Source organism: Homo sapiens, chromosome 14, assembly GCF_000001405.40.
Source record: "Homo sapiens chromosome 14, GRCh38.p14 Primary Assembly".
NCBI lineage: Eukaryota > Metazoa > Chordata > Mammalia > Primates > Hominidae > Homo > Homo sapiens.
The window spans coordinates 74,022,585-74,038,189 of NC_000014.9; the positions used below are offsets into that span (position 1 = coordinate 74,022,585).

The window sequence follows — 15,605 nt, forward strand, 5'->3', positions numbered from 1 at the left end:
AGTTTGGCTTATCCTGTCTTTTCCCTTTGTTTTACCAGTCTTTTCGAGTTATGCTCCAGGACTCCCCTCCTCCAGGAAGAGGCACTTACTTAATTATCTTATGTGAATACAAGTGAATATGTATTTCTTTTTTTTTCTTTTTTCAAATGTGAATATGTATTTCTTATTAACTTATTCTTCCAACAATATTTGATCATGTGTGCCAGGCAATGCCAAGCAAAACAAATAAAAAAAGAGAAAAATTTAATAGTAATATAATAGAGTTATATACTATCTGCATATTAGAGTTGTATAAATAGTCATATACTGTCAATATCCTCTTCCCATGCAGGAAGTTAATAAAAACAGATGAATCTGTGGTGGACAGAGCCAAGGCCAATGCCTCCCTTTGGGAGGCCAGGTTGGAAGTCACAGAACTCTCTAGGATTAAGTATCGTGATACTTCACGGATACTGGCAAAAAGTAATGAGGACTTAAAGAAAAAGCAATGTAAAATGGAGAAAGACATAATGTCAGTATTAAGTTACCTGAAGAAGCAGGATCAGGAGAAAGATAATATGGTAGGTAGGTAGAAAGCCTCCTTGGCCTCATTAACTACCTCTATGGTGATGCTGATGTGGTTATGTATTTCAAAGATTTTTAATTCCTTGAAATCTTAACATATACTTAAGACATTTCAATTGACCTTAACTCTGTTTGAAGCAAGACACTTTTTCAGAATGGTTTTACTGTTATCGGCTCTCTTTTATTTTCAATCCTTGTTGCATGTTTTCTTGTCTGAAGCAAACAGAGATTGATGATCATAAGGGAACTTTATGATCTACTTTATTTTAAGGATAAGAGCATGGTATGTGATCTATATATTTTTTGATGCTGATTTTTAGTTTTAAAAATTTGTAAAGCAGTTCACTGATAATCCATGATAACTTTCTGAACCCAGCAAGTTGAATCTTTATTTTTATTTTTGGCCAGTTGAATCTTGTATCTTATTGTACCTTATTAAAGTGTTGAGAGTAAAGCTATCATTTTATATTTGGAAGAAAAAAGGAGGCCGGGTGTGGTGGCTCACGCCTGTAATCCCACCACTTTGGGAGGCTGAGGTGGGCAGATTGCCTGAGCCCAGGAGTTCGTGACCAGCCTGGGCAACACAGTGAAACCCCGTCTCTACTAAAATACAAAAAATTAACCGGGCATGGCTGCATGTGCCTATAGTCCCAGCTACTCGGGAGGCTGAGGCAGGAGAATTGCTTGAACCCGGGAGGCAGAGGTTGCAGCGAGCTGAGATCATACCATTACACTCCAGCCTGGCAGCCTGGGCGACAGAGCGAGAGACTCCATCTCAAAAAAAAAAAAAAAAAAGAAAAGAAAAGAAAAAGGGAAGGGAACTAACATTTTGGAGCCACTACAATGTACTATACTGGGTGCTTTACCTCTCTTGATTCTTTTACTAACCTCCTATTTAATTATTTTTATGACCCCATGTAGCTATAATATTGTTATTTCCATATTACAGATGAAGAAATTGACTTTCAGAAAGGACAGGTAACTTGCCCAAAGTCACACCCCTAGTGGGTGTTAAAAGTGGAAATTCAGGCTGGGTGTGGTAGCTCATGCCTATAATCCCAACACTTTGGGAGGAAGAGGCTGGAGGATAACTTAGCTTAGGAGTTCAGGACCAGCCTGGGGAACAAAGCAAGACCCAGTCTCTACACAAAGTAAAAAATAGCCAGGCGTGGCAGTGTGCACCTGTAGTCCCAGCTACTCGGGAGGCTAAGGCGGGAGGATCACTTAAGCCCAGGAAGTTGAAGCTGCAGTGAGCCATGGTCATGTCACGGCAGTCCAACCTGGACATCAGAGCAAAACTCTGTCTCATATTATTATTACTTTATTATTATTTTTGAGACAGGGTCTCTCTCTATTGCCTGGTCTAGAGTGCAGTGGTATGATCACGGCTCACCACAGGATCGACATCCGGGCTCAGATGATCCTCCTGCCTCAGTCTTCCAAGTAGCTGGGACTACAGGCACGCACCTCCATGCCTGGCTAATTTTTTGTATTTTTGGTAGAGACAGGGTTTCGCCATGTTGCCCAGGCTGGTCTTGAACTCCTGAGCTCAAGTGATCCACCCGCGTTGGCCTCCCAAAGTGCTGGGATTGCAAGCATGAGCCACCATGCCTGGCTGATTTTTTTGTAGTTTTTGTGGAGATGGGATTTCGCCATGTCGCCCAGGCTAGCCTCGAACTCCTGGGCTCAAGAAATCCTCCCAACTTAGCCTCCCAAAGTGCTGACATTACAGGCATGAGCAATAGCACCTGGTCCAGAAATTTCTATCTTTATTTTATTTTATTTTTTGTATTTTTAGTAGGGACGGGGTTTTGGCATGTTGTTGGCCAGGCTGATCTGGAACTCCTGGCCTTGAGTGATCCGCCCACCTCACCCTCCCAAAGTGTTGGGATTACATGCATGAGCCACAAAACCTGGCCAATTTTTATTTTTAAAATTACTCTTTTAATAGTAGGTATTATTAAATTGCCCTCTATAAAGTATTGTTCTAAAGTAAGTTTTTTTAGTCAACCATAGAAATAATTTCCAAATGTGTTACTTAGATGCTTTGTTTTGTGGCTTGTAATAGCTCATTGTTATTGGTCTACATCAGTATCACTTGTACTTCCTGATTCTCATCTGCCTCCTTATATCAAAGGGCAGCATCTGGCAGTAACAGGTGGGTAATTTTTATAATCATGGATTGCCATTAAACCAAAAGAAACAACCTTGGGAGGAAGAAACAAAGTAGACTAAATATATCCTCATTAACTAGCTTTCCCATAGTTTTGTTACTCATTTTGCTATATACTAGAAAAATGTTATGTTGTTAAACTTTGTTTAAACTGTTTATAGTCATGTTAATTATAGAAATAATAGAAATGAAATGTGTTTTGAAAACTATTTTATTATGAACAAAATTAGGAGATTCCCCTTAAGAGAATTTAATGCTGTACTGAATTAATCACAGAATAATCTCATTAAATGTCACACCAGTTTTATGTGATTTAGGATTGTCCCAGTTTATTTTTTAGAATATCTAGATTTTTTCCTAAGGTGGTCTAAAACATTGTACATAGTATCTCACTTGTGTCAACAACCATGTCAACAAGTCTTTAGTTTAAAAAGCTACTCAGATTCCCTTCTAAAACAAACCAGCATTCCTTGGAGAAATGGTTGATTTCAGGACTGGAACAGGGAATATAAAACATGAGGCTGGGCTGTTCATGGTGGCCCATGCCTGTAATCCCAGCACTTTGGGAGGCTGAGTGGCGGGGTGGGGGGGGTGCATCACATGAGGCCAGGAGTTTGAGACCATCCTGGCCAACAGAGTGAAACCCCATCTCTACTAGAAATACAAAGAATTAGCTAGGCATGGTGGTGCGTGTCTGCAGTCCCAGCTGCTTGGGAGGTTGAGGCACGAGAATTGCTTGAACCCAGGTGGCAGAGGTTGCAGTGAGCCAAGATTGTGCCACTGCAGTCAAGCCTGGGCAACAGAGTGAGACTCTGTCTCAAAAAAAAAAAAAAGAGAGAGACTGGGGGCGGTGGCTCATGCCTGTAATCCCAGCACTTTGGGAGTCCAAGGCGGGTGGATTACTGAGGTCAGCAGTTTGAGACCAGCCTGGCCAACATGACGAAACCCCATCTCTACTGAAAATACAAAAATTAGCCAGGTGTGGTGGTGGGCACCTGTAATTCCAGCTACTCAGGAGGCTGAGGCAGGAGAATCATTTGAACACAGGAGGCGGAGGTTGCAGTGAGCCAAGATCATGCCATTTTGCACTCCAGCCTGGGCAACAAGAGTGAAACTCCATCTCAAAAAAAAAAAAAAAAAAAAAAAAGAGTCTGGAATATGTTATTGTGCCAGAAAATAAAAAATTTTAAAGGACATGGCCTTGTTTGAAGGGGCTTCCATTGGCCAAATCTGGGACAATCAAAATATTAGGTTGGTGCATTAAAAGAATGGCAAAAACCACAATTGCTTTTGCACCAACCTAATAAATAATAGCAAAAATGGCTGGGTGCAGTGGCTCACACCTGTAATCCCAGAACTTTGGGAGGCCGAGGTGGGCAGATCACCTGAGGTCAGGAGTTCAAGACTAGACTGGCCAACATGGCAGAACCCTGTCTCTACTAAAAATACAAAAATTAGCCGGGTGTGGTAGTGTGCACCTGTAATCCCAGCTACTCAGGAAGCTGAGACAGGAGAATCGCTTGAACCCAGGAGGTGGAGGTTGCAGTGAGCTGAGATTGCGCCACTGCACTCCACCCTCAGGGACAGAGTGAGACTCCATCTCAAAAGGAAAAAAAAAAAATGGCAAAAACTGCAGTTGCTTTTGCACTGACCTAATAAATAACAACAGTAATAGATTATAACCTATTGAATGAAATAAAAATCCACGAGTGTGTACTACTAATAAACACATACATGAATAAATAAGGGAGAAAGGAAGCCTTTTTTTTTTTTTTTTTTTTTTGAGACAGAGTCTCGCTCTGTCACCCAGGCTGGAGTGCAGTGGTGCGATCTTGGCTCACTGCAACCTCAAAGGATCACTGCAAAGGATTCTCCTGCCTCAGCATCCTGAGTAGCTGAGACTACAGTTGTGCCACCACCCCGCCTGGCTAATTTTTGTGTTTGTAGTAAAGACGGGGTTTCACTGTGCTGGCCAGGTTGGTCTCGAACTCCTGACCTCAGGTGATCTACCCGCCTCAGCTTCCCAAAGTGTTGGGATTACAGCCATGAGCCACCTCGCCCAGCTTTTTTTTTTTTTTTTTTTTTTTTTTGCAGAAGAATGCCAATTAATAAATTTCCAAGGAGTGATGGAGTTAGAAAAATCACCATTTGGCATCACAGTAATAACTGAATCAGTCAAGAATCATCAATGGATGCTAAAACCTACTGGGTGAAAGTTTGATGAGGAGGATAATTGCATAGTCTCAAAAGATTGTACCACAAATTACTTAATAATCACAGAAGAAAAAATAATAACTTTTAGGTGGAGAAAGTGGGCAGACACAACCTTAACCAACTGGTTAAAATTAGCATCAATCACCTAATGATGTGATGTACTGAAAAGGATACATCATCACTTAGGTACTATATATAACCTACCAAAAACATACAACCTGAATCTACTCATGAAGAAGCATCAGCTAAGCCCAACCCTGGCCAGTATTCTTTTTAAAAAGTCAATTTAAAAACAAAGACCAAGAAACTGTTCCAGATTAAAGGGGACTAAGACACATGACAGATAAATGCAACGCATGATCAAGGGTTGTATTGTAGACAAGAAAAATAAAAAATTGCAATAAAGGACATTATTGGGATAATTGTAGCAGAATTTAAATATAGAGTATATATTACATAGTAGTATATTAATGTTAGACTTCCTGATCTTTATAATTTTATAGTGCTTGTAAAAGGGAATGCCCTTTTTCTTCAAAAATAGATACTGAAAGGCCAGGCACAGTGGCTCATGCCTGTAATCCCAGCACTTTGGGAGGCTGAGGCTGGTGGATCACCTGAGGTCAGAAGTTCGAGACCAGCCTGGCCAACATGGTGAAACCCTGTCTCTACAAAAAATACAAAAAATTAGCCAAGTGTGGTGGCGCATGCCTATAGTCCCAGGTACTTGGGAGGCAGAGGCAGGAGAATTGCTTTAGCCCAGGAGGCATAGGTTGCTGTGAGCCAAGATTGCACCACTGCAGTCCAGCCTGGGCGACAGAGTGAGACTCTGTCTCAAAAAAAAGAAAGAAAAACAAATAAGGAAATAGATACTGAAGTCTTCTGGGGTAAAAGGTCATCTTGAAATTGACATTACCCTTTACCACTAAAGAAATACACACACACACACACACACACACACACACACACACACACACACAAATAGAGGGAAAGCAAATGCGGCAAAATTAATGTATATGGGTGAATAGTATGGGAATTTTTTGTACTCTTCTTGAAACTCATCTTGGCTAGGCGCTATGGCTCACACCTATAATCCCAGCACTTAGGCCAAGGCAGGGGGATCACTTGAGCCCATGACTTTGAGACCAGCCTGAGCAACATGGCAAGACTCCATCTCTATTTTTTTTTTTTTTTTAGACAGAGTCTTGCTCTGTCACCCGGGCTGGAGTGCAATGACGCCATCTCGGCTCACTGCAACCTCTGCCTCCCAGGTTCAAGTGATTCTCCTGCCTCAGCCTCCTGAGTAGCTGGGATTACAGGCATGTGCCACCACGCCTGGCTAATTTCATAGTTTTAGTAGAGAAGGGGTTTCTCCATGTTGGTCAGGCTGGTATTAATGTTGCTTTTATTTTTAACCACACACACACACACACACAAAAGTTGACCAGGTACTTCTGATGATAGCCAGGTTTTAGAAACTGGCAATAGCAGGTTGAAGGTATGGGAAATTTCCTGTCCCCTCTTCTCTTTCCACCTCACTCACCTCTTTTGCCATATTGGTTTTAGTATTGTGTGAAACTAGTCTACTTAATAAAGGTAGACATAGAGCAGTTTCTTTATCTTCATGACCCTGTATTTTGATTTTCAACAGATTGAAAAACTGAAACAGCAATTAAATGAAACAAAGGAAAAAGCCCAAGAGGAGAAGGATAAATTGGTGAGTTATCTATGTGTACTAATACTCCACTTACTGGATGGTCAGGTTTCTGGCAAGCTCAGGTATTTAAGACCCAATGACAGTGAGTGAGTAAGTTCTCTGGGCAGGCTAATGACCTTAAAGCTTGATTGTATAGAAATTCAAAAAACCAGGCTGGGCATGATGGCTCATGCCTGTAATCCCAACACTTTGGGATGCTGAGGCGGCGGATCACCTGAGGTCAGGAGTTCGAGATCAGCCTGGCCAACATGGTGAAACCTTGTCACTACTAAAAATTTAAAAATTAGCCAGGCATGGTGGTGCATGCTTATAATCCCAGCTACTCGGGAGGCTGAGACAGGAGAATTGCTTGAACCTGGGAGGCAGAAGTTGCAGTGAGCCAAGATCGCACCATTGCACTCCAGCCTGGGTGACAAGAGTGAAACTTCATCTCAAAAAAAAAAAAAAAGTTTAAAAACAACATATTATAAAAATAAGTTATTGTAAAAAACCATATAATATTAAGATTGCTTCCTGATACTGAATTTGTTATTGTTTCTAATGCTTTTCAGTGGATGGAGCTAGGAGATACACGTTTTTAAAATATTAAAATAGATCATGACTCTATACTAATACTTTCAGTTTACATGCAGGAATATAGAATTTTTACTTAACTTTATCTGTATCTCCTTTATCCCTTGCCAAAAGTCCTTATTCTTACTGATACCAATATAATTACCTAGTTGCGTAAACCCCAATATATCAATCTCAGAATGCTAATATTACCACCAAAAATAAATTGCTGAAAACAGTTTAAGATTTTGGGGGGCATTTTTCTCCCTTAGGATATATACCAGTAAGGATCTATGATAAAATTGCAAGGCTTAAGAACCATTTGAAATTCTTTTCTATGAGGTTATGCCACCAACTCAACAACACATTTTGCTTTTGATTTTTAGAGGTTGCTTTTTATTTTTTCATTCTACTGTATTTATTTAATTTTTTTAGATATGGGAGTTTTGCTATATTGCCCAGGCTGGTCTTCAACTTCTGACCTCAAGCAGTTCTCCTTGCCTCAGCCTCCCGAGTAGCTAAGACTACAGGCATACACCACCACACCTGACTTAGAGGTTGCTTTTTATTTATTTATTTTTATTTTTTAATTTAATTTTTTTAGAGGTTGCTTTTTAAAAAATTAGTTTTGCCTATAAAATTAAGTAAAATATTTACATGGTTCTAAAGTCTGTAAAACAAGTTGCACGTCGAGAAATCCAACTTTTTTTTTTAGATGGAGTCTCGCTCTGTCGCCCAGGCTGGAGTGCAGTGGCGCAATCTCTGCTCACTGCAAGCTCCATCTATTGGGTTCACACCATTCTCCTGCCTCAGCCTCTCGAGTAGCTGGGACTACAGGCACCTACCATCATGCCCGGCTAATTTTTTGTATTTTTAGTAGAGACGGGATTTCACTGTGTTAGCCAGGATGGTCTCTCGATCTCCTGACCTCATGATCCGCCCGCCTTGGCCTCCCAAAGTGCTGAGAAATCCAACTCCTATCCATGTCTTTTCCACACTGTCTTCTCCCTCTCCCTGTAGAAAACCATTTTATTTATTTTGTGTTTTATCCTCTCTTTAAAAAAAAAGGTTGCTTAAAAAATTGTTTCCTTATCAGAAAAGCTAAAAAAAAGTCATAAACATATATATATATATATATAGAGAGAGAGAGATTATATATAAGGAGATTTTATATATATAGGTTATATATAAAATCTTTCTTAGATAAAAGGTAGCATGCAATATACATAAACCTGCACCTGCTTTTTTTATTTAACAGTATGCCTTGGTGATCACTCCATAGCAGTATGTAGAGACATTCCCTTTTTCTTTTCTTTTCTTTTTTTTTTTTGAGACAGGGTCTCCCTCTGTTGCCCAAGCTGGAGTGCAGTGGCACAATCATGGCTCACTGTAACCTCAAACTATTGGGTTCAAGGGATCCTCCCACCCAGCCTCCGGAGTAGCTGGAACTGTAGGCGAGTACCACTACACCTGGCAAATTTTTGTATTTTTTGTAGAGATGGGGTCTCCCTGTGTTACCCAGGCTGATCTTGAACTCCTGGCCTTAAGCGATCCTTCCAGCTTGGCCTCCCAAAGTGTTGGAATTATAGGTGTAGGCCACCACGCCTGGCATCATTCCCTTTTATAGCTGTGTGATGATTATTGTGTGGATATATCATAGTTTATTCAAATGGTCCCTGTCTTAGTTCAGGCTATTATGACAGAATACCATAGACTGAGGTGCTCAAACAACAAACATGTATCTCTCATCATTCTGGAGGCTAGAAGGTCAGGGTGCTAGCATGGTTGAGTTCTTGGTGGAGGCCATTCTTCTGGTTCACAGATGGCCGCTTCCTGCTGGATCCTTACTTTTGACAGAGAGAGAAAGCTCTGGTTTTTCCATCTCTTTCTTCACCAATCCCATCATGGAGGCTCCACCCTCATGATCTCATCTAAACCTAACTACCTCCCAAAGGTCACACCTCCAAATACCATCACACTGGGGATTAGGGCTTCAACATAGGATTTTTTGGGTTCACACATACAGCTCATAGCAGTCCCTTTTTGATGGATAGTTGGGTTGTTTCCAGTCTTTTTCTATTACAATGAATGTGCCAGTAAAGAGCTTCATGTATGTATCTTTTCACATTTTGGCCATTATATCGTTGGGATAGATTACTGTAAGTGGTATTGCTAGACCAAAGAAAAATATATAATTTTTCTAGGTATTGCCAAATATCCATTTATAGATATTGTGCTGTTCTGTAATACCACTAGCCATGCATGAGATTGCCTGTTTCCTCACAGCTTTACCAACAGAGTCTATTCTCAAAGTTGATTTTTTTTTTTTTTTTTTTTTTTTTGAGACAGAGTCTCGCTCTTGTCTCCCAGGCTGGAGTGCAGTGGCACGATCTCGGCTGACTGCAACTTCCGCCTCCCGGGTTCAAGCGATTCTCCTGCCTCAGCCTCCCAAGTAGCTGGGATTACAGGCACCTGCCACCACACCTGGCTAACTTTTGTATTTTTAGTAGAGACAGGGTTTCACCATGTTGGCCAGGCTGGTCTTGAACTCCTGACCTCAAGTGATCCACCTGCCTTGGCCTCCCAAAGTGCTGGGATTACATGTGTGAGCTACTGTGCCTGGCCTCAAACTTGATTTTTGCAATGTGATAGGTGAGAAATGGGTATTTTTCAATTTACGTTTCTCTCTTTTTTTTTTTTTTCTTTTTTTGAGGCGGAGTCTTGCTCTGTCACCCAGGCTGGAGTGCAATGGTGTGATCTCAGCTCACTGCAACCTCCACCTCCCAGGTTCAATTGATTCTCCTGCCTCAGCCTCCTGAGTAGCTGGGATTACAGGTGCGTGCCACCATGCCTGGCTAATTTTTGTATTTTTAGTAGAAGTGGGGTTTCACAATGTTGGCCAGGCTGGTCTTGAACTCCTGACCTCGTGATCCACCCGCCTCAGCCTCCCAAAGTGCTGGGATTACAGGTGTGAGCCACCACGTCTGGCCCAATTTACATTTCTCTTATTAGGAGCTAGATTGGACTTTTTTTTCACATTTGAAGGCCATTTGCATTTCTTTTAGTACCTTTTGTTCATTTGTTGTTATTGGCCTTTCCTTCTTCCCCCCTTCCTTTTCTCTGTCCTCTTGCTTTCACTTCCCTCTCCTCCTCCTCTTTCTCCTTCTCTTCCTCTCAGTCTTTTATGTCTCCTTCCCTTTTTCTCCCTCCTCTTCCTTCCTCATCCTCCTTCTTTCTCCTACCTTCCTCTTTATTAGGGATATTTACCACACTCCCTTTGACTCCTAGCCAATTAATTTTAACTAGTTTCGGGTATTAGGGTTATGTCAGAGATAAAAGGTGTGTTAGGTCTTCTCATATCCCTTTTTAGTAAACATCTGCATTTTTTCCTTTCTATATAGAAACTTTTCCAAAATTTTTTTCTTATTCAATGCAGATGGTATCTTTTTACAGAAATGAAAACTTTATGCAAAAATAAAAGGGGGACCGGGCGCGGTGGCTCATGCCTGTAATCCCAGTACTTTGGGAGGCCAAAGCGGGTGGATCACCTGAGGTCAGGAGTTCAAGACCAGCCTGGCCAACATCGTGAAACCCCATCTCTACTAAAAAATACAAAAATTAGCTGGGCGTGGTGGCAGGCATCTGTAATCCCAGCTACGCGGGAGGCTGAGGCAGGGAGAATTGCTTGAACCTGGGAGGCAGAGGTTGCAGTGAGCTGAGATCACGCCACTACACTCCAGCCTGAGCAACAGAGTGAGACTCCATCTCAAAAAAATAATAATAATAAAATAAAGGCCAGGTGCGGTGGCTTATGCCTGTAATCCCAGCACTTTGGGAGGCCGAGGTGAGTGGATCACGAGGTCAGGAGATCGAGACCATCCTGGCTAACATGGTGAAACACCGTCTCTACTAAAAATATAAAAAAATCAGCCAGGCATGGTGGCGGGCACCTGTAGTCCCAGGCTGAGGCAAGAGAATGGCGTGAACCCGGGAGGTGGAGCTTGCCGTGAGCCAAGATCGCGCCATCGCACTCCAGCCTGGGCGACAGAGCAAGACTCCATCTCAAAATAAATAAATAAAATAAATAAATAAATAAATAAAAATAGAAAAAAGGGGGGATATTTCTTCAAAGAAGATATGCAAATGGCGTAAGGCTTCAAATGAAACATGACTTTGTGGGACTTCTGTTCTTTTTCCTAACTCGTTTACCTCTTTTTTGAATACAGGAACAAAAGTATACCAGGCAAATTAATGAACTAGAGGGACAGTTCCATCAAAAAGCCAAAGAAATTGGCATGATTCACACAGAGCTGAAAGCAGTAAGACAATTCCAGAAGAGAAAAATCCAAGTGGAGAGAGAGTTAGATGATGTAAGTTTCATTCCTTTTTTACAAAAAGGAAATTAGAATTAACTATTTAATGCCTACAGAAGCCTTCACAAACATTTACTCCTGTGAGACGGCAAAGAACTCTCTTTGACATTTTAGAAATTATTTGAGAGAAAAAGGAGAAGACAGACTGGATGCCAAAGGTCTTGACTTTAGACTTCTCTTTTTCTAAGCATTGATTTCCTTGGGAACTCACCAAATCTCAGACAACACATCCTCCTATGTTTATCAGCAGGTAACCCTTTGGATTGACTTCAGTAAGAAACAAACTACAAGTTCTTAGAAAACCTCAGGGAAAAAGTAGCAGACTTCTAAAGAAAAATGTTTAGGCTGATGAATGATAGTTTTAGAGAAATTTAGAAGGCTCTATGGTAGGGGTCAGTAGGGTGAGAAACACTGAGTACTTTCAGAAAATTTATGTTACCTTTCTGTGCTCTTTCTCTTACTTTCCTCGGCTTAGAATATAGTTTTATTACATTACTGATAATTCAATAAGTGGCACAGGGGAGTGCCAGGAACAAGTAGCTGAAATCAGCTTTGTGACTATAGGCAAGTTACTTAACTCTTCCATACCTTGGTTTCCTTATCTGTAAAATGGGATAGTAAGAGTTAGTATCTCAGCCAGGCATGGTGGCTTATGCCTGTAATCCCAGCATTTTGGAGGCCAAGGCAGGATAATCTCTTGAGGCCAGGAGTTCAAGACTAGCCTAGGCAACATAGTGAAATCCCAACTCTACAAAAAAATGTTTTAAATTAGCCAGGCACAGTGGCTCGTGCGTATAGTCCCAGCAACTTGGGAGGCTGAGGTGGGAGGATCACTTGAGCCCAAGAGATTGAGGCTGCAGTATGCTGTGATTGCACGACTGCACTCCAGCCTGGGTGACAGTAAGACCATGTCTCAAAAAAAAAGTAAAATAAAATAAGAGTTACTATTTCATAGAATTGTTATAGGATTAAATGAGTTAATATTTGTAAAGTGCATAAAATAGCACGTCACATGGTAAAAATTATATAAACAGTGGTGTGCAGCTCTCTGTAAAAAAAAAATGGTCCTTATTTGTAGCATTTGCTGATTCTGGGGGAAATACTTTAGTATAGCAAAGGCTTCAGTCATCTATCTTAAGGCTTGATTGGAGCTTGAGGATCTGTTTCCAAGGAGGCACATTCAAGTGGCTGTTAAGTTGGTGCTGGTGATTAGTGGGAGACCTCTCCTCATATGGGCCCTTTTTTTTTTTTTTTTTTTTTGAGACAGAGTCTTACTCCATCACCCAGGCTGGAGTGCAGTGGCACGATCTCAGCTCACTGCAACCTCTGCCTCCTGGGTTCAAGCGATTCTCGCTGCCTCAGCCTCCCGAGTAGCTGGGATTACAGGCGTGCACCACCACCCCCAGCTAATTTTTTTTTTTTTTTTTTTTTTTTTTTTAGTAGAGTCAGGGTTTTACCATGCTGGTCAGGCTGGTCTGGAACTCCTGACCTCAAGTGATCTGGCCACCTCGGCCTCCCAAAGTGCTTGGATTATAGGCGTGAGCCACCATGCTCAGCCCATATGGGCCCTTTTATAAGCTGCTTGAGTGTTCTTATAACTTGGTGGATGACTTCACCCAGAGTGAGTAATCTGAGCGGGATGTAGACAGAAGCTATCTTTTTCATGACCTAGCCTTCAAAGTCACATAGCATTACTTCCACCATATTTTATTATTAATAGTTAAAAGTGAATCCTTAAGTCTGGCCCACATTCCTAGCAGTGGGGAATTAGATACCATCATTTGAAGAGAAGAGTGTCAAAGAACTTATAGACACATTTTAAAACTACCATACCACTGCAGTCCAGTGTATACACAGCTACAGGAATACTTTTAAAATATCACAGTTCTTTTTTTTTTTGAGATGGAGTGTTGCTCTATTGCCCACGCTAGAGTGCAGTGGCGCGATCTCTGCTCACTGCAACCTCCACCTCCTGGGTTCAAGCGATTTTGGTGCCTCAGCCTCCCAAGTAGCAGGGACTATAGGCGCACGCCACCGTGCTAGGCTAATTTTTTGTATTTTTAGTAGAGACAAAGTTTTGCCACATTAGCCAGGCTGGTCAAGAACTCCTGGCCTCAGGTGCTCTGCCCACCTCGGCCTCCCAAAGTGCTGGGATTGTGGGCATGAGCCACTGCACCTGGCCTAAAATATCACAGTTCTGATCACGTCCTTCAAGAGTTGTCTTTCGGTGAGGCACAGTGGCTCACACCTGTAATCCTAGCACTTTGGGAGTCCAAGGCAGGTGGATCACCTGAGGTCAGGAGTTTGAGACCATCCTGTCCAACATGGCAAAACCCTGTCTCTACTAAAAAATCCAAAAATTAGTCGGGCATGGTGGCATGTGCCTGTAGTCCCAGCTACTCCAGAGGCTGAGGCAGGAGGATCTCTTGAACCTGGGAGGCGGAGGTAACAGTGAACCAAGATCATGCCACTGTACTCCAGCCTGGGTGACAGAGCGAGACTCTGTCTCAAAAAAAAAAAAAAAAAAGCTGTCTTTAGTGTTCCTCCACTGTAAACAGAATATTGTCCACACACCTTAATGTGAAAGTCAAGACCCTGTACCTATCTGGGAACATTATTATCTCCTTTTACTACATCACCCATCCACCTCCATACTTCCTTTAATTCACCCAAAATGAGTATTCATTAATCCCTGAAATCTTGTCTCTTTGTTTCATTGTTCACACTGTCTTTTATCTAAAATATATTCCTGGTAGATCTTGGCCCATTAAAATATTATCTTTTTTTTTTTCTTTTTTCTTTTTTTTTTTTTTTTTGAGACAGAGTTTTGCTCTGTTGCCCAGGCTGGAGTGCAGTGGTATGATCTTGGCTCACTGCAACCTCTGCCTCCCAGGTTCAAGCGATTCTCCTGCTTCAGCCTCCTGAGTAGCTGGGACTATAGGCACGTGCCACCATGCCCGGCTAATTTTTTGTATTTTTTAGTAGAGACAGGGTTTCACCATGCTGGCCAGGATAGTCTCAATCTCCTGACGTCATGATCTGCCCACCTCGGCCTCCCAAAGTGCTGGGATTACAGGTGTGAACCACCACGCCTGGCCTCTTTTTTTTTTTTTTTTTTTTTTTTTTTCTTTTCTTGAGACAGAGTCTCGCTCTTTTACCCAGGCTGGAGTGCAGTGGTGTAGTCATGGCTCACTGCAGCCTCTACTTCCCTGGGCTCAAGTGATCCTCTTATTTCAGGCTCCTGAGTAGCTAGGACTACAGGCACGCACCATCACACCTGGCTAATTTTTTTTTTTTTTTTGAGATGGGGTTTCACTGTTGCCCAGGCTGGTCTCGAACTCCTGGGCTCAAGCAGTCTGCCTGCCTGGGCCTCACAAAGTGCTAGGCTTACAGGCATGAGCCACCATGCCCAGCCACCTGTCTTTCAAAGGCTCAGCTCAAATTCGTGTTCTCCATGAGGTCTTCTCCTGGAGTCCTGTTTAAAAGTAATAATTTTCGGCCAGGCATGGTGGCTCACGCCTGTAATACCAGCACTTTGGGAGGCCGAGGCAGGCGGATGACCTGAGGTCGGGAGTTCAAGACCAGCCTGACCAACATGGAGAAGCCCTGTCTCTACTAAAAATACAAAATTACCTGGGCCTGGTGTGGCACATGCCTGTAATCCCAGCTACTCGGGAGGCTGAGGCAGGAGAATCGCTTGAACCTGGGAGGCGGAGGTTGCAGTGAGCTGAGATCGTGCCATTGCACTCTGGCCTGGGCAACAAGAGCGAAACTCTGTTTCAAAAAAAAAAAAAAGGAATAATTTTCTTTTCTGTATGTTCCCATAGCATTTTCTATCTTTTTTATACCCCATTCTGTCTTTTTTATCTTGTCTTTTTATATACCTAAAGATATTGTCTTGATATTATATTTATTTATCATTTATCTTATCTCCCCTAATAGATTGCACTCACTTGAGGTGTGAACAGTGTTGTCCTTTGTATTCATTGAAATACAAGATACATAGTAATGTTGA

General features: G+C 41.9%; 1 protein-coding gene across 24 annotated transcripts in view; it reads left to right on the forward strand.

Annotated features, from left to right (window-relative positions):
• BBOF1 (basal body orientation factor 1) overlaps nucleotides 1-15,605 on the forward strand; it is a 63,516-nt gene that overhangs the window by 3,236 nt on the left and 44,675 nt on the right. For 13 of the 24 annotated variants that reach the window (XR_007064048.1, XR_007064049.1, XM_011537171.3 and 10 more), the window contains 3 exons: nucleotides 332-560; nucleotides 6,600-6,665; nucleotides 11,444-11,587. Coding sequence is in view for 18 of the 24 variants with exons in the window: in XM_011537171.3 (XP_011535473.1) it covers nucleotides 332-560; nucleotides 6,600-6,665; nucleotides 11,444-11,587 (439 nt within the window). In the remaining 6 variants the exon portion in view is untranslated. Of the gene's footprint in view, nucleotides 1-331; nucleotides 565-6,599; nucleotides 6,666-11,443; nucleotides 11,588-15,605 lie in introns of those variants that run through there. The other 11 variants (XM_017021660.2, XM_017021661.2, XM_011537177.3 and 8 more) reach the window with 4 other exon arrangements.